The sequence below is a fragment of the Homo sapiens genome, chromosome 18 (assembly GCF_000001405.40).
Source record: "Homo sapiens chromosome 18, GRCh38.p14 Primary Assembly".
Taxonomy (NCBI): domain Eukaryota; kingdom Metazoa; phylum Chordata; class Mammalia; order Primates; family Hominidae; genus Homo; species Homo sapiens.
In genome coordinates this window covers 11,073,244-11,092,485 of record NC_000018.10, presented here as the reverse complement: position 1 = coordinate 11,092,485, position 19,242 = coordinate 11,073,244, and the positions used below count along the sequence as shown (strand labels likewise).

The 19,242-nt window shown below is 41.8% G+C and overlaps 1 protein-coding gene across 11 annotated transcripts in view, besides 2 other annotated features; it reads left to right on the top strand.

Annotated features, from left to right (window-relative positions):
- PIEZO2 (piezo type mechanosensitive ion channel component 2) overlaps positions 1-19,242 on the top strand; it is a 479,323-nt gene that overhangs the window by 57,084 nt on the left and 402,997 nt on the right. The window lies entirely within an intron of this gene.
- Positions 13,524-13,603: an enhancer, noted in NCBI's record as "active region_13093". NCBI's record gives its function as "activates an Ori minimal core promoter by ATAC-STARR-seq in GM12878 lymphoblastoid cells {active_cell/tissue: GM12878}" and the evidence as "EXISTENCE:reporter gene assay evidence [ECO:0000049][PMID:35858748]".
- Positions 14,524-14,693: a silencer, noted in NCBI's record as "silent region_9294". NCBI's record gives its function as "represses an Ori minimal core promoter by ATAC-STARR-seq in GM12878 lymphoblastoid cells {active_cell/tissue: GM12878}" and the evidence as "EXISTENCE:reporter gene assay evidence [ECO:0000049][PMID:35858748]".

The window sequence follows — 19,242 nt, the reverse complement described above, 5'->3', positions numbered from 1 at the left end:
ATCGTTTCTAAACTATGGAGTGATAATTACTGCTGTTATGTCTTCTTACTATAGCTTTTTTCAAACAAATATGAGATATCATTTCACATATCTTAATAAAATTGAATCACATGGAATATAGTATTTTTAGTTTTCTGTATTTATTATGTTTAACAATCTCTTGGCAAATACTCTGTCAAGCTAATTTCAAATGGATGAACAGTATTCCATAATATGGACTTTTCTTAATATCTTCAACCATTTTCCCATTGTTATTTCCTGTTCTTTGTTTTTGTAAATAGTGCTTCTAATGATGTGTTCTCGATCTTGGACGAGAATTATGCTCCATTAATCTCTGTCCTGAGATCTCTTTCTATAGTCAGGTAGCAGACAACCTTTCAAAAAATACCCTTTTAGCCACCTCTCTGAGTGAAATTAAGCCTTGCATCAAAGACCACATTTGCCACACCCTCCAAAGAGTCTTTTATTGGGATACTGGCTATGATTCACTAATAGCGTGGGGAAACCACGGCCTGCCTTTTACTGACTCGTGTGGCAGGAAATTCTCTGCTTTAGGAGGTTGTCGTGTGAAAGCGGAGCCTTGCCCTTGTGCTGTGACTGAGTGGTGACACTGAGACGTGAGACTTGACTTGTGGTCTTGAGTTGGAGCTGCTGCCACTGGGGTTCAGTTCCTAATCCCTAAGTCAGTGAGTTGGCAATGAACAAACCTTTATCCCAGAGAACATATTTCCAATAAAAACAACAACACTATGAACAAGAACAAACCCCTTTCTAGCGCTCAAGATGGACAAGCCGTATGCCAGACATGGGCTGGCATCTCATTGAACCCCCACCCTATCATCCATGAAATAGTTAGCCTTCTTATCCCTATTTTGTAGATGAGATAACAGAGCCAGAATCACACCAAATGACGTTTTGTTCAATCACTTGTTTGTTAAGTAATTTGTCTAAAAATAATTTTTTCAATGTAAAAATCTTTTATTAATGCCAGTGCTCAAAAGCTACCATTCTTACAGCTTTTCTTCATTATACCTATACATTTAGTAGAAAATATTTCTTTTCTTTTCCTTTCTTTTTCTTTTTTTCTTTTTTTTTTTTTTTTGAGACGGAGTCTTGCTGTGTTGCCCAGGCTGGAGTGCTCTGTCACCATCTGGACTCACTGCAACCTCCGCCTCCCGGGGTCAAGTGATTCTCCTACCTCAGCCTCTTGAGTAGCTGGGATTACAGGCGCGTGCCACCATGCACGGCTAATTTTTGTATTTTTAGTAGAGACGGGGTTTCATCATGCTGGCCAGGCTGTTCTTCAACTCCTGACCTCGTGATCCGCCCACCTTGGCCTCCCAAGGTTTTGGGATTACAGGCATGAGCCACTGCGCCGGGCCTGAATATTTCTTATTAAATTTCAAACAGAGGTTAGAGAGGTGACATTTCATATACACTAGCATAGTGATATTAGAAGCACTATATTTGTGAATTTCTTATCTTTACAAATTGGTCTTCTCTATGCAAATGTACAGTGCCGCTTTTTAAAGAGCAATGTGCCCCACATCTACTTTTTTTTTTTTTTTTTTTTAGACGGAGTCTCGCTCTGTCGCCCAGGCTGGAGTGCAGTGGCGCGATCTCGGCTCACTGCAAGCTTTGCCCCCCCGGGTTCACACCATTCTCCTGCCTCAGCCTCCCGTGTAGCTGAGGACTACAGGCGCCCGCCACCACGCCCAGCTAGTTTTTTGTGTTTTTTTAGTAGAGACTGGTTTCACCGTGTTAGCCAGGATGGTCTTGATCTCCTGACCTCGTGAATCGCCCTTCTCTTAAAGGAAGTGGGGGATGTGTTTGTGAAAATCTGATTGGAAAGATAACATGGTTGTGCATTTATTTTTTGCCTTGTATTTATACTTTAAGCTTACTGGGCAGTTTGCCCAGAAGTAATTGACTTCCTTTGCCCTCCCCACTACCGACCACCCCTACCCTTTCAGGTTGGAAATAGGTTTCCATAGCATTTGGTCAGTCTGGTCAGTGGGTATTGTAAACCCATTAGACTGTGTCAAATTTGGTGCATCCTGCATTGAGTGGCCTCTCATTCACTTCTATTTCGGAGCTTAAAGCCAAATATAGATACTTATGTTTCACTTTGTTTTTTTGCCCAGCAGTTTGTATTCCTTTCTCCCTCCCTCCCTTTTTTCTTTCCCTCCTTCTTCCTTCTCTCTCTCTCTTTTATTTCTTTCTTGTCATTTAATCTGGCAGATAAAGTTTGGCAGCCAGCCTATCAAAGGTCAGAGAGGACCTCTGTTTTGTTCCAGGAAAAGGCACCGTTACAGTTACAGATGCTCTGTGATGGAGAATCCATAGAAAAGAGGAACCTTGCGCTGAGCTGAGCAAGAGGCACAGAAACCGGCAGAATCCAGCATCCGGGTTGTCAGGCTTCCTGCTCTCCCTTCCTACCCTTCTCTCAGAAGAGCCCTGCTGGCTGGTCAATACTGTGAAGCCCACTTTAGAATCTCTGATTACACTCTTATGCTCTTCCCTTCTCTGTAAGGAGAAGAGGAATTAGAAACTCGTGAGATCAATCGGTTCTCTTCATAGGCCTCGAAATGGCCTGGACTTTTATCAGAGGCTAGGTCAGGGCTGCAGGAAGGGGCTAAGACAGGAAATGCTCGTTGGACAGAGCTGGAAGAGGTTTGTATTTGACTTGTACTCACCTCCTCAGAGACTGCAGATGTGGCGTCTCCTTTTCCTCCTGAGGACCCCTGCAAAGCATTTGTGCCTAAGACAGAATGTTTGAGGAGATGGACACTCTGTCTGTCAACATCTTGTGCTACCAGCTGGATACATTGTGTGCTCAATTGGAAAATCCTGTAATGGAGTTGATGGGGATTTAACGCGTGCCTACCACACAGTGTTCAGAAATGCCGGTTGGAGGTTTTATTCCTTGGAAGAGGAATGGCTGCCCTCCTTGCCTGTCTTCATTTGAAACTCAGTTATACAAGCTTATCTCTTAAAACAAATTTCAAGAGTTTGGGCAGGCACATTACCTGTCATCACTGCTTGGTTGCTTATCTTTTAGTGAAGTGAATGATACCTTGAGCTCAATTATTAAACTCAATTACATCTTTTCTGTTGAAAGTGCTTGATGACACATTGATTTCGCCTGTGTTAACTGAATTCAGCAACAGGTTTTAAGTCTTACTCGATAAGCCTAAGCATTCTGTTGTCAAGACAGATTAAGATGAATTGAGCCCTGAGAGCTTAGGGGGTGGTTATCAACCATGATACATATCTAAATTGCCTGGAATGCTTTGGGAAAATGTAGTCATTGAGGTGCTACTCCTGAGGATTTGGACTCAGGAGGTGTGGAGGGGACCGCCCCAAAGATTCTGACCTGTGGCCAGTTGTAAGGACCCCTGACTAGTAAAGAGGATGCACACATGCACATACGAACCCTAGACAGACTGATAACTGCTGTTACTGATAGATAAACAGTACACTAGAAAAGTGGTTTCTATGGTAATTTAAACTGTTCTTTGCATGGTTACCTGGCTAATTCCCATTTGGAGTCCATTTCTTTACACCTCCTGGTCTTCATCCCCAGTCTCAGTCACTGTGGTTGGATATTTTCCATTTGCTTCTCCAGACCATGAGCCCCCTTGGTGTGAGTTATGAGGCTGGCCTGTATGGGTTGCACTAAGATGCCCTTCTGCCTTCTGGCTTCTGACTGGGTTTAGCCAATGGGGGTTGATGGGAGATAGGGTGCTAATGGTTGCCACCGTTGATAACCCTGTGGTTCTCTAGTCTCCTTTGTAGCTTCTTCTAAACCTAGACTACACCAATCAATATCACCCCTTCATTACACTCTCTTCAGTCCCACAATTTAAGGGAACCTTCTGTGTTCTGCCTGGATGTGAGAAACGGTACATTTGATAAAGAAAACAATTAACACATTAATAATGCTAGTGATCAAAGAATTTAAAAAACTAGAACATAGGAAAACTGATCAATACAATTCAATCAGAGCATGTTAGGACCTTAAGGGGTTCTCCTATGAATATCCCTTGTTTCTGCATTGCAGAGGTGAAGTGTTGTTTAAAATAGAAATCCAATGAATAGGAAGTCACAGAGAATTTTCTGAATTTCTCATTTAAGAAATGTGTTGTGGCACTTTTTTTTCATCTATGTTTCCTCAGTAAAGCAGCTTTTAGAAGAGAGTCAGAGTGGGAGCTCTGTCCTCTGCTTACTGAGACTTGGTAACCCACTTTTCATGCATTCATTTCAGGACCTCCTCTGCATTAATTTCCTGGGGAGACAGGAATGAATAGACCATAGTCTCTGCCTGCAGGGGCTTATAATTGTGGGGGTAGGGAAAAGACTTGTAACCAAATAGTTCAAGTGTCCCAAGTATACATTGAGGTCTGCCTAAGGTCCAGGGGGAGCAGAGACAAGGAAGTGCCTCCCTCAGCAGTCTGCGTCCAAGCAGTGACTTCTTGAAGGATATATGTGAGTGGCATCACAAAGGAAATGTAGGAAGCAGCATTCTTCATTTGAAGGTGAACAGAGAAACAGAAATGAAGCAAAAGCAGCAGGGACTGCAAGCAGGCTGTTGTGCCTGAAGTTCTGTGAGTGCTTGGAGGGTGGCAGGAGGAAAGGCAGGCACCGTGCTCAGCCTGTGCAGTGCACAAGCCCACTTGATTGGCGTGCCTTGATTCAAACATTGGAGTAGCTTCCCTTGGAGAAAGTTGAAAACGTTACGGAGGTAGACAGAAGCACATGTGAAAACCTGAAATGACGATTTTAGTTGATCTTGATGAAAAACTGTGGGAAAGAATAAGGGAGGGAAGGAAAATGCAGAGTGATTAGGTGATGTTAAGGGGCACATAAACAAGGTGGGAAATAAAATTATCAATGTTCACAGGAAACACCAGAGCTTAAAGCTGATCTTCCCACTGGACATTGAGGTCATAAGCTTCTTGAGAACCACACTGTGTTCTTACCCATTTGCACAGGAAAAATATTTTTATTATCTATACTCAGATAAATATATTTAGATTAAAATGAAGAAAAGCCAAGTGCATTGCTTGGGAGAGAGATGCTTATGTTACAGGGGATGCTGCCTGCAGAGAAGGTGGACTGGCCCTGGGCTAGCATAATCCAAGATCTGACAGTGTGCAGGGATGAAAATGACACTAAGGGTGGTGTCATTGTCTGTTCCTGCCTCTGTAAGTAAATTTCAAAGACTGAGCAGCTTATAAACAACAGACATTTATTTCTCACACTTCTGGCTGGGAAGCCTGAGGTATAGACACCAGCCGATTCAGTGTCTGGTGAGAGTCCATTTCCTGGTTCATAGACAGCCCCCCTTGCTGTGTCCTCACAGGGTGGAAAAAGGGAGTCCCCTGGAGTCTCTTTTATAAGGGCACGTATCCCACTCACAAGGACTCCACGTGTATGACCTCATCACCTCCCAACAGCTCCACCTAACACCATCACTTTGAGGATTAGGATTCAACATAGGAATTTTGGGGGGACACAAACATTCAGAACATAGCAGGTGGATTTGGCCAATTTCTTGCCATGCTACACATGGGATTGGCCACTCATTTTAATCTAAAACATACATGACAGGCATTTTGTTTTCTGCGGAAAAAAACCTTGGAGGTTGAGGAACGGTTTTGAATTAAAAATCCTGTTTCCTTTAAATATGACATTTTTAGCTCCTCTTCCTGTTAAAAAAAAAAACCCGAAATTATTTATGTGTCTCTTTTTTATTGTAAGAAAGTTTGGCTGGAGCAGCAGGGATCCATTATCACAATATAGTAGTGTTTTTCATATCTATCAATTCCTTCAGAATAAGTCCTGACAGATTTGTAAATTTGTGTGGATATTTCATAACAATACAGTTTTCCTCCTGTATGCTTTGCACTTATTTATCAGTCTCATTAGCCTGTTTTGAGACTTAAAGAACCTTTTTTTTTTTTTGAGACGGAGTCTCGCTCTGTTGCCCAGGCTGGAGTGCAGTGGCGGGATCTCGGCTCACTGCAAGCTCCGCCTCCCGGGTTCAGGCCATTCTCCTGCCTCAGCCTCCTGAGTAGCTGGGACTACAGGCGCCCGCACCACGCCCGGCTAATTTTTTGTATTTTTAGTCGAGACGGGGTTTCACCGTGTTAGCCAGGATGGTCTCGATCTCCTGACCTCATGATCTGCCTGCCTCAGCCTCCCAAAGTGCTGGGATTACAGGCATGAGCCACTGCGCCCGGCCCTGTTTTGAGATTTCTCTGTCGAATTTTCGTATCATTAGGATAAATAAGACACCGTTTTAAAAAGTCAGCTTCACATTAATTTTTATGACACCAATAATTTTAATATTACCCATTGCTGATATATCAGTTTCTAAAATTCTTTGTATGCCATTATAAATATAATTTTTTGTAAGTCATGTCAATTCAATTACATACAACGTATATTTATTGATGACTCACTCTGTCAGGATATTGTACTCGATGCTGGAAATGAAGGAGGATTAATTTATAGTGTCTGTCCTGGGTAGTACACAGGCTTCAGATGACCACATGTACCATTAGGGTTTCCATTATACCCCCTACCTCCCTTTTTTTCTCCCACCCTCTCTTCCACTCTCTCCGTTTTTTTTTTTTCCTTTCTTGCCAAAGTAGCACTTTTTGAGTGCCAGTAAGCATTACAATTTAAGTAAGCTTTAAAAAAAATTTTTTTTCTATATTTTCATAGTGATATCTGGTGTTCCATATTTAGCTTCCAGTTAACGTCTAGGAAATTGCAGCCTTAATAGATAAGGGAGAAGGGGACTCAGGAGGAAGGAAGGTTAGGAGATCCATTTCATAATTGATCAAGATAGGAGTACTGGCTTTTAGTTTATTGCCAGTGAACAATCTAAACATCAAACACTAAAACCTGTGTGTACTAAGAGCCCCCTAAATAGGGGTTGGATGTAGCAAGGGCTGAGTGGAGAAGCTTGGTCAGCAAATGGGCTTGGAGCTGCATTTTGCCTGATACGTTACAGGGGGAAGGAAGAGGAGAAATATTCCAGGAAATTAGGCAGCACATCAAAAGGAAAGGAGGAATAAAAGATGTTGGAGTGTCTTAGGAAGGGCAAGCAGGTGACTGGAGTCTGTGTTGTGATGAGGCCTGATGCGTGAGAGATGGGTTGTCCAGATTTTAAAGGGTCTGGAATGCTGGGGCCAGGTAGCTGGGGTTGGGGAGAGCCACTGTGAGGAACCAGGAGGAGTCTGAAATTGAGTCAGGCTGGTCCAGTTTTGATTCTTGGGACTGTGATCTAGGAGATCTAGCTGCCGATAATACTTGGGGCAAAATATTTATCCTCTCTGAGTCCTCTTATGTTCATCTTGAAAACAAAAATGACAATACCTTGTGGAACTTTGTGAAAACGAAACAAATATATTCATGTGTTAATTCATTCCGTTATTCACTTATTTACTTAGCAGCTGTTTTTCACAGGTCTGCTCCATGGCAGCCACCTTCCAGGTGAAGGAGGTGAAGCAGATGAACCAAAGAGCCAAATGGTGTGAAGTGTCTGACATAAGGACAGCTGATATGTGACAGAATCGGTTTACTGCAATAATTGTTATTACCATTAGTCTCTAACAACTTGTTGAGGCAAAGGAGGGGCCTGGCCACACTTGTGTACTAGAAAGCTGATCCTGGGAGCAGTGTTTCCTTCTGTCGTGTCTCAAACCTCATCTCCTGAAATTCACAACTGAGAAGTTCTAATGTGCTGGTGGGATGATGTCTGGTGGAGTTTTTATCATCTGAAACTGTTGAAATGGAGTTCTTGGTAAAGAAAATAGCAAACAAAAGCAGGATCAAAGTTGCTAAGGGTAAATCAAATCAAATCACATAGGGATCCACACTCAAGCCAACTCCATGGATTCAAGCGGGAGGGATGAGAGAGGAGGAAGCCCGTGGGAGGTGAGGAAAGGGGGCCTCCATGGCGAGGGCTGGAGCTTTGCATTCTGGCTACACAACCCGCTCCTCCTGGGATCACTTGATCTCTCTTATCTCCTGTTTCTTCCTTCCCTGAAAGAAGAATGATGCCAGTTCGTACTTCACAGGACTGTACTGGAACTCACCTGAAAGAAGGGCTTGTAGCCTAACAGTGCTAGCAGGTTACTGTCCGTGGCACCTGGCACATGCCCTACAAAATTTGATTGATTCAACAAAGGATGATAAAGAAAACATTTAATTATACCAGATATCAAATAAGTAGGGTCCCTTTCCTGCCTCTCCTTTCTCTCTCTCTCTGTCTTTTTTTTTTTTTTTTTTTTTTTGAGACAGAGTTTCACTCTTTTGCCCAGGCTGGAGTAAAATGATGTGATCTTGGCTCACTGCAGCCTCCACCCCCCAGGTTCAAGTGATTCTCCTGCCTCAGCCTCCCGAGTAACTGGGATTACAGGCACCCACCACCACACCTGGCTAATTTTTGTATTTTTAGTAGAAACAGGGTTTTGCCATATTGGCCAGGCTGGTCTTGAACTCCTGACCTCAGTTGGTCAGCCCGCCTTGGCCTCCCAAAGTGCTGGGATAACAGGCATGAGCCCCCACTCCCGGCCCTCTCCTTTCTCTTAATTGAATTGATCGATTATTTAATTAAAATTGACTAAAGAGACTGGTTGTTTTGATATCAAACAAGTATACAGCTGGCTGTCACATGGAAGCTTTCCTGTTCCTTGAACCTTAGTTGTGCCTCTAGCCTCGGAGAGCCTACCGATCTCAGGACAATTTCTGCAAATTTTCTTAGTCTTCTGCCTGAGGATTCCTACTAAGTGTCCTAAATGATTCTACCTCACATCGGATTAAAGGCAAAACTCTGTGCCCTCAGACTCTGCACCAAGCCTTTCATAAGTAACTTTGGAAGTTCTGCATGCCACAGGAAGAGCCCACACCGTGCCCTGCAGGGCTGGCACCACCTGAGTGGCTCCCCCTTTGTGTACAGGCTTCTCCTCTCTCTAGTTCCCCTCCATTTCCCCAAGCCACAGCCAGCATCATTCCCTGGAGGAGAGCATTTCTGCCCTTACCTGGACTCCTTCGGATCTCTCATTCTACGCCAAGAATTTACCAAGGAAAACATCCAAACAAATATAGTTCCTCTTCTGAGAGAAATTCTGATCCTGGCCTCTAAGTGAATACAAATATTTCCCTCTTTTCATAAAGAACCACAAAGTAGCTTTTTAGAGTAGCTGGACATAAAATGAAGTTAAAACATTTAAGTCATTTGGCCCTATAGTCTTCATCTGTAAAATCAGCATATTCACATTTGTCTAAGAGAAGTCTGTCTTTATACCAGCTTCAGGCAAGGTATGCAAAGGTAGAGAACGGTGATGGATGCTTAGCATGGGATTCCCATGGGCCACCCAGAACCATAAGCAACGGCCTAAGTGAACTCTGCAGAATCAAGAGGTGATGTCCACATCCATAAGGCAACTTCTGTGAAAGGTGGTGCCACCTCCTACTCAAAGGATGCTGCCGATTCCATCAGTCAGGTGCAGTTGGCATTCCTGCATCCTATGTGTTTAATATAATATGATAGAATCAAATTGTGGTCTTTTCCTTTGCAATGTCGCTCATTACAATCTGGAGAGAGGCATTTTGAGGTCCCAGGGTGTACTTTTTAAAGAAAACCGAGAATATTGGAGTTTGCTTTACTTTGGTTTCGGGGTTGTAATTCTGGGCAATCTGCAGCAAAAATTAACACGTTCCAGATGATAGCAGAGGAAACACACACTCACACATACACACATATACTCTAGTTCTTTTTCTGATAAAAAAAACTTTAAGAATTATTTGTTTCTCAGGATTCATTTGTTCCAAGGAAGGGCTAACCAAGTTTTAAAAATATGTGAAACATCACGCCTGTAATCCCAGCACTCTGGGAGGCCAAGGCAGGCAGATCACGAGGTCAGGAGATCGAGACCATCCTGGCTAACACGGTGAAACCCCATCTCTACTAAAAATACAAAAAATTAGCCGGGCGTGGTGGCGGGTGCCTGTAGTCCCAGCTACTCTGGAGGCTGAGGCAGGAGAATGGCATGAACCCGGGAGGTGGAGCTTGCAGTGAACTGAGATCGCGCCACTGCACTCCAGCCTGGGTGACAGAGCAAGTCTCTGTCTCAAAAAAAAAAAAGAAAAAGAAAAAAATATGTATCTATGAAACAACCTTAAAATGGTACATATTCGAGTAGAAGAAAATTAGTATTTGTCATACATATTTCCTTTCCCTTGCCATCCTAATTAAGTTGTCAATATAAAGTCTTAATTAGATTTCCTATGTTAGGTCTTACTGATAAAGTAGCTGCAGCATGCAATTTACCCCAAACTGTTAAAGTTTAGTTTTCAAACTTTCCTCCCCATTTTTGTCTGCAGGAGAAAGAAAAAGAACTGAAGTTGAGGCCGGGCGCAGTGGCTCACGCCTGTAATCCCAGCACTTTGGGAGGCTGAGGCGGGTGGATCACCTGAGGTCAGGAGCTCGAGATCAGCCTGACCAATATGGTGAAACCCCGTCTCTACTAAAAATACAAAAATTAACTGGGCATGGTGGCATGTGCCTGTAGTCCCAGCTACTCGGGAGGCTGAGACAGGAGAATCGCTTAAACCTAGGAGGTGGAGGTTGCAGTAAGCTGAGACCGCACCACTGCACTCCAGCCTGGGCGACAGAGCAAGACTCCATCTCAAAAAAAAAAAAAAAAAAGTTGAGTTGAGTAGGGTGTGTTTGCTTTCAAATGGCCAGTGGGAAACTTTTGGTCTCAGTTCAGAGTTTTTCTTTGCTTCCCTCTGCACAGAGCTCCCCAAGCTAGGCATCCAAGCCTGGCCCACAGATCATGCTGGGTTAGCACTGGGAACTCGGTCCCTCTGGCTGAGAAGTGGCCCCAGGATGGCTCAGGAGGTCAGTGAAATCATGGCAATGCATCCCATGTGTTAGTTAAGCACTTCTGATGGAACTAGCTTTTATTAATGTTTAAAAAAATTATACATGGTTTAGTTCCATTTTTGTGAAGTTACCTTGAGGCTTAGGATATCAATGGACTTGCTCGACTGGGATTACAATTTTGATTTCCTCTTCTCCTGGCTGCCCACTGGGACTCATGCGATAAGTTTCCATGTTTCCTAATGATTGGCATTGGAAAGTGTATTTTTCCACTTTCTTTGTATATGTGGTTAATAAATATCTTTCTTAGCCCTGCAAGCTGACCAAAGCCTCAAAGTGTCTGCTGTGGTTAAACAGAATTTGCATTGAATGTATTTGTAAGAAAAACATGGTTAAGGCCTGGAGCTTAGCTTCACACACCTTTGCCTTTCAGTAGAACCTCCCTGGGCTTAAGTTCTTGTGGCAGAAAGAGGTTCATGACTCAGGAAACTTTCTTGTTTCTTGCCTCTTTCTGGATGCCTAAGTGGAAATTATTACCCAAATATTATTTTTCCAGCACTTTCATCAAATTCCTTTTTAATATTGTTATTGTAGCCATGTCATTATGTTAGCCAGATGGTATGTTGCAGAATAACCAATTTGGTGAAGCTATTGGACGTTGACTCCATTGGTCAGGTGTGATAACTTTTCTCTGATATCTCTGCTTTATTTATTTATTTATGTGTTTGTTTATTTATTTATTGACAGAGCCTTGCTCTGTCGCCAGGCTGGGGTGCAGTGGCACCATCTTGGCTCACCGTGACCTCCGCCTCCCGAGTTCAAGCGATTCTCCTGCCTCAGCCTCTCAAGTAGCTGGGACTACAGGCACATGCCACCACACCCGGCTAATTTTTGTATTTTTAGTAGAGACGGGGTTTCACCGTGTTGGCCAGGATAGTCTTGATCTCCTGACCTCATGATCTGCCCGCCTCGGTCTCCCAAAGTGCTGGGATTATAGGCGTGAGCCCCGCACCTGGCCTGATGCCTCTGTTTTTGAGGGCCAAGGAAGGTAACCCCTTTATTCCTTTATTCATTCTGCACTATCATCACAGGCTTATTATGTGCAAGGCACTATGCTAGGTTCTCTGAGGACACAGCAGTGGCAAAGCCCTACTCTTAAGGGGGTTACAGTCTAATCAAGGAAGTAGCATGTATAGATGGTGAAATTCTACAAGGCCATATGTAATGATGTTGTAAGAGTGTTAAAACCAAAATGCTATGGGTATTCTGAGGTGGAAGAGACAACTTTTTCCTTAGATTTAATTTTATTTTGTAAATACAAAATATACACATAGACATCGTGAAAAACTTTAACATGATAAAGATAAAAAGCCATAGTTTTCCCTTCAGTTCTTCTTAGAAGCAACTACTGTTAATAGTCTGTTATTTTTATAGGTGTTTTCTGTGTAGATGAGAGAGGTAGCAGTGTGGAGTGGTTAGGAGTGGGGATCTGGAGACAGCCTGACTGGGATTAGTTCCCAGTTTTTCCTTGACACTGGACAGTGTGTGCATCCTTCTGAGCCTTAACTTCCTCTAAATGGTGGATATTGACCGTATCTACCTAATAGGTCAGTCCTACTATAAACAATTTGACAACCTAGTTTTTTTACTTGTTGCATTGTGAACATCGTTCCATGCCCAGGCACACTGCAACAGTCATTCTTTGTAACTGTTGCACAGAATTCCCATTGCATGATAATCCTTACTGAATTATTCCTTTATTGGTAGACATGCTTTTTCATTCAGAAAATGTTACTTTTCTTTAAGGTTATGAGGGCATTATGAGAGACGAGACAAACATTTGAGCTAATTTGAAGGATGCTTATGAATTTGTGGTTTACTGTTGGGCAGGGGGCATTCCAGGTTGGCAAAGAAACAGGCAGGAATTAATTTATTCCTTCAGTAAATATTTACTGAATGCTTACTGTGTGCAGAAATGGAGTAGAGACTGGAGTAATCGGTAATGAACAGGAAACAGCTCCTGTTCCAAAGTGGCCTAGGACCTGTTGATAAACATATTTGAGGAATCACTAATAGGGGAGTTTGGCTAGAATTGGAGGTGCATTTAAAAGGGTACGTTGTTGCTTGACTTTTTCAAGTGATAGGCCAAGAGTGGTGGGTTCTGTAACCTACTTGTCCCCCAGTAAAAGTTTGCCAAGTGGTCTAGCAAAGATATTTGTGGAGGTTAACTTAGCCTCTATGGAATTTTGACTTAAACCATCCATCTTAACTCACAGGGGCTCTTGAGTCATACCTACTTTTTGGAAGTAGACACTGATACCAAAGCAGCCTCACTTTAGGAGAAAGCAGGGAGAGTTGTGAAATATTATGCACCATTTCGTAAATATATGGTGGAACGATGGGCCAGGGAAAGTGAAACAACGTCTATGCCTGGGTTTAGGAGACCTGAGATTTTTTAAATCTAGTGATCACAAAATCAAACAATCTCAAGTTCATGAGCTGATGGAAACACCTATAGTGAGCTCAAAAATGTTATTGGAATACTTACTCTAATTTCCTGAATAAAGGATGCCACCAGCAATTTTTTAACTACCGTAACTTTCTAAGGTATGACGCTGTGGTGTAGACTGAAAAGAAGGGTAATAGAGCAGAAGGCTGAGGCAGCCTGGGAAACATCTCTTTAGACTGGTCCCTGCAAGGATTCTTTTTCACCCCTCTCCATTCTCAGTAACACAGACTCTGTGATTCGATGAAATGTAAGGCCAAATACTCTGAGTAGGTAGAGACTGAAGAGATCTGGCAAAAGAGGTTCATTTTGAGGCATTCATCCAATTCATTGCTATTTGGATGTTGCTCTGGGAGCGAGGTTTTCACACTGTGGTCAGAGGCCGCATGTGTCTCATTAGTATGGTATCATAAGCATAATCCCCAGACAGAGTCCAAGGCTGAATTCATGCCATAAAAGGTGTGTCTACTTCTCTAGCAACAGAAATATTTGAAAGCAAAAGCGATAGTTCCATATATGTCAGGGAAGAGGATGTTCCCAGGAAGAAGCAGACAATGTCAAAGTAAATTCATCAAGATAAAACAGTAATTTTAATCAATTTACGGCTGTATTAGTTGTTAAGATGTAATGTTGGGTCGCATCATGTGCTGGAGATAGAAGAAATAGGACTGCATTATAGTTAGTTGAATTGATTTCTTTTCGTGTTAATGCACACCTCAGTCCAAGGCGGATGCTGCCAAGAATAATATAGAATATTCTAAAGTCTACAGTAAAAGTCTACAAAAAATTCTATTTTTACTAAGTTCTTGAAAGTAGGAAACTATGGCAGGCAGTAAATTAATCCTGTTATAAAAAGCCACTGCTGCTTACATAAAGCCCATACAAGTGTGTGTGTGTATGTGTGTGTGGTGTGTGTATGTGTGTGTGTGGTGAGTGTGTGTGTATGTGTGTGTATGGTGTGTATATGTGTATGTGTTTGTGTGTGTGTATGTTTGTTTTTGTGTGTGTGGTGTGTGTGTGTGTGTGTGTGGGTGTGTGTGGGTGTGTGTGCACGCACATGTGTTTTTGCGTGTATGTGTGTGTATTGTGGCCTTGGCTGTCACCCCTTTTTCCATTGCTGTTTCCAGTTGCTTAGGGATGAGCATTTGGCATTTGAATGTCAGGGGACTGAATAAGATTGAAACTGATTTCTCTTGTTTGTGAAAATGAAAAATGACACTTATGCTCTACTTTGTAACACAGTCTAGTAAGCCATTCCCACCTTATTTTATGTTGAACTGAACGTGTTAGTATCTACCTGTTTTTGACATATAGAACTACCAAGGTCAGTGGTTCAAAGTTTAAAAGTACTGATATTAATGAAAATGGAGCAACAACTTCCCAAACTTGAAATCTCTATGAATCTATAAAGAGAGAACTTCTGAAACAGGCTGGAGTGCAGTGGTGCGATCACAGCTCACTGCAGCCTCGAACTCCTGGGCTCAAGCAATCCTCCCACCTCAGTCTCCCATGTAGAGTAGCTGGGACTATAGGCATGCACCACCATGCCCAGCTAGTTTTTTCTTTTTTTGTGTGGAGATGGGGGTCTCACTATGTTGCCCAGGTTGGTCTCAAATTCCTGGTCTCAAGCAATCCTCCTGCCTCTGCCTCCCAAAGTGCTGGGATTGTAGGCATGAGCCACCACACCTGGCCTGATTAGTGATTTCTAAATCAGCAAATACCATGACACAAACCAAAGCAAGCTACCAAGTCCTCCAGTCTACAAATGCTAACTCTTCACTTCCATAGATGACAAAGCCACTAAGATGAGCAGGCTAATAAGCAGTTTTAATATTTGACCTTTTCTTAGCTCCCAGTTGGCCCCCTAATTATTCTTATTCATCATAATGGTAAGAGAGCAAGTTTTATTTTGGTAGGCTTAGGAACTGTGGATTTCAGTGAAGGGCTCTTTATATTCATAATGAAATAGGTCTAATTTCAAGTATAATTTGTCTGATAGTTTAAGAAATTATGTATGAGCATAAAAGCTTTATTTCCTCATTTGCAATTATGAGAGGCAATGTGTGGTGCTATTCTGTCAGATCAGAGACAATTATGGAAGATAAACATGGCCAAACTTGAACACAAGGATTTGGGTTTTAAGTACAACTTTGTATGGGTGCACTTGTAAGATGATGAAGAGCATATTAAAAGATATTTCAAAGGAGGAAGAAGCACTGCTATTCTTTCCTTAAAATTATGCAAACTGTATTCAATCAGGATGAATTTAGAAAACTCAGTGAAACTTTTAATACTGTTATTAATATTTGATATGACATACTGTTTAATACTGTTACTAATATTTGATATGAAATTATATATGTACTGTTACTAATATATGATGTGAAGTTATATATATACTGCTTAATACTGTTGCTAATATTTGATCTGATAAGTGTATATGTTGACATAGATAACAGAATCCTACCTTTGTATACTAAATTAAAAGGCAACAAATTTTTAAACTAATGGCCAAAAAAAAACAAACTAAGATCTTAGTAATCATCTGTTCCAACTCATAGTTTACAAATAGTATCTCCAGTTGTTTGGAAAAAGCAGAAAATTCAGACCAAAGCCTTTTTTCCTTTATAAATAAGATGGTTTTACTGGATTTTTTTCCTTAGATTGGTTTCAAAATTTTAGGAAATTGAGTAGTAGTTATGATTTTCTAATACAAGTCCTTATAATCTATTATCTTGTAAAAGTCTTGTTTTCCTTTAGGCTTTACCCTAAAATCACATTGTTTTAAATAATTTATTTAATGAAATTAATGTAGAATACAATGTTTCTGTGTTTCTCTTTCTTGAAGTGTGAGGAATACTTGACTGATCAGTTCAGCGTTGTGCTGACACACTGCAGCATTGTCAGCCTTCACACATTTCAGAATAAAAATGTAATGTTAAAACATGACTAAATGGGAGAGCATATTTTCTTATTTGAAATATATCTGTAGGCCGGGCACGGTGGCTCACGCCTGTAATCCCAGCACTTTGGGAGGCCGAGGTGGGTGGCTCACAAGGTCAGGAGATCCAGGCCATCCTGGATAACACAGTGAAACCCCGTCTCTACTAAAAATACAAATTAGCCGGGCATGGTGGCGGGCACCTGTAGTCCCAGCTAACTCGGGAGGCTGAGGCAGGAGAATGGCATGAACCTGGGAGGCAGAGCTTGCAGTGAGCGGAGATCGCGCCACTGCACTCCAGCCTGGGTGACAGAGCGAGACTCTGTCTCAAAAAAAAAAAAAAAAAAAAGAAATATATCTCTATTCGCCTTTCCTGTCACACATATGTGAGCACGTTTTGGTGTGCATAAAGAATCTGACACAGGTGCTACGTGATAAGAATACGTATGTAAGCATATGTCTTGCCTTTCTGAATGGTGGTGGGAGAGACTGGCATTGTCCTTCTTGAAGAAATAATTTTTGTAACTTTCTGTAGGAAGCACCTGGGACAAGACCGCCAGTGGGCACGGAGGTGAGACTAGAGGGGGAGAGGAAGAGAATGTTCTTGTCTCAACTGTCTGCTGCTCTAAAGCATCGCTGTTTGAGACATTTACGGTTTCAACCGATGTAAAACACAGAGTAGATAATGGGGGAAAGAATTCTACACTGATAGACAATGAATCAGGTGACATAACAGCCTTTTTCCTTTCTCTCATTTCTTTGACAGGTTTGCTTCCTCAGGAAAAAATCTATGGTTGTTTAATTTTCTTTTCCTGCTCTATTGTAAACACTTTGTAGCTATTTCTCTTTTTTTTCTATTCATAAAATAACCATAATTTTGAAAGAATGTCCTTTTAAAAGCAATCAATTGCTTCAGCGTACAGAAAGAAAATTATTAAAGATACAAACGATTTCTAGAATTACTGGACCGACAGAACTGTTTTGTCAGTTCGTTTTAAAGTTGCTTATTCGGAGTAATGTTTACCTATCTACTGCTGTGGCAACTGTTAAAATAAACAAAGCTCCTTGAGGCAATAAAGAGCATTAAAACACACTTAGTAGAAATGGAGCTTCTAAACATTTAAGGCACTGTTGCCTAGGCCATTAAGAGTGAGACCTTGTTTGGCCTTGCTAAAGGGATAAAGGAACTGGGAGGGCACATCTTGCCAAAAATTTAGCTCTGAGAGCACTTACCTTTAATAGCATAATCTAAAATTACTGCCTTGAGCTACTATAGAATGGTAAATTAAAGTGTGCGTAAACCTCTCTGTGATCATAGTGCAGTAACAGGAAAATTATTCTATATCTATTGCAACACAAGTATTTTTACAAATGTTATGTGGCCACCTTAACCATTTCATATTTGCAAGAGATTTTCCCCCTTTCTATATTGACACATTGTAAATTGTCAAAGTCAAATCGATCATTTTTCCTACTTCTTGAGTTTTTTCCAAATTGCACACCATCTTTCATCTTTAGAAAATAAAACTCATGAATGAGGCAAGTCCAAGTGTTTACGATTCACATGGCAGTATTAATGTTTATAAAGCACTTCACTTGATAACTTGTTATCTCAGTTTTTGATTGTGAGTTCTTCAGGCCTGGAAAGGTCTTTTGTTTGGGGAATTACTGTCAGCTGTTGTATAATTTTGGATGGTTAAAACCAGGTACAAATAGTGGAAACTACAATGCTAAAGCACCTTAGCTAAAGCAAATAATCTTTTTCCTTTAAACACATTGACCTGCATTTTTGTTGTTCTGTCAACGGTAACATTGTTGCTGCCAGAGGATGAAGGTACAGCTCCCTGAGAATCCACCAAGAAAGGTGGGGTATCAGGGGACATTGTGCAGCGAGAATATGGTCGCTCGTTATGAAAAGGAATGAATGTGCTTTAAATGTCTCCAGATCTTGAACAAAGGCAGTATCACACTTGATAAAGAAGCAGTTATTGGCTGGGCACCGTGGCTCATGCCTGTAATCCTAGCACTTTGGGAGGCTGAGGCGGGCGGATCTTGAGGTCAGAAGTTCAAGACCATCCTGGCTAATACAGTGAAACCCCATCTCTACTAAAAATACAAAAAATTAGCCGGGCATGGTGGCATGCGCCTGTTGTCCCAGCTACTCAGGAGGCTGAGGCAGGAGAATCACTTGAACCCAAGAGGTGGAGGTTGCAGCGAGCCGAGATTGCGCCACTGCACTCCAGCCTGGGCGACAGAGCCAGACTCTGTCTCAAAAAAAAAAAAAAAAGCAGTTGTTATTTGTCTTCTAAGTCGTTTCTAGCTTGAATGTGCCATATTGCCAAGTTCAAAGGCATATTTTTCCCTAGATGGAGATAACTCACTTAAATAATAGCATTTAAAGCTCTCGTAGTTTTGGATAACTTTTGGGTAGCATCTTCACATACATCAAGTAAAATTGTGACTGCCATCTGTCAAATGGGATGATTTCAAATGAAAAGTAAGTGAAGCTGGATTTTTGGAGGTGGTTTATTTTTTATTTATTTTATTTAGTTTTTAGTTTGTGCACTAGTTATCTATTGCTGCATCCAGGGACACTCGAGTGAGCATGTTGTCAGAGCAGGACCTGCCTCCAAGCTGACTCGGGTGGCTTTTGGGTGGAAATCTCAGTCCTTTGTCACACGGGCCTCTCTGAAGGACACATGTAGCACAGCAGCTGGCTTCCCGCAGGGTGAGCAAGGGAGAGGGGATGCTCAAGACAAGCCTTAACCCTTTTGTAGCTTAGCTGTGGCAGTGGTGCCCCAATACTTTTACTGTATTCTGTTCATTATAAGTGAGGCTCTAGCTACAGCCCACACTCAAGAAGAGGTGATTGCACAAATGGATGTGAACACA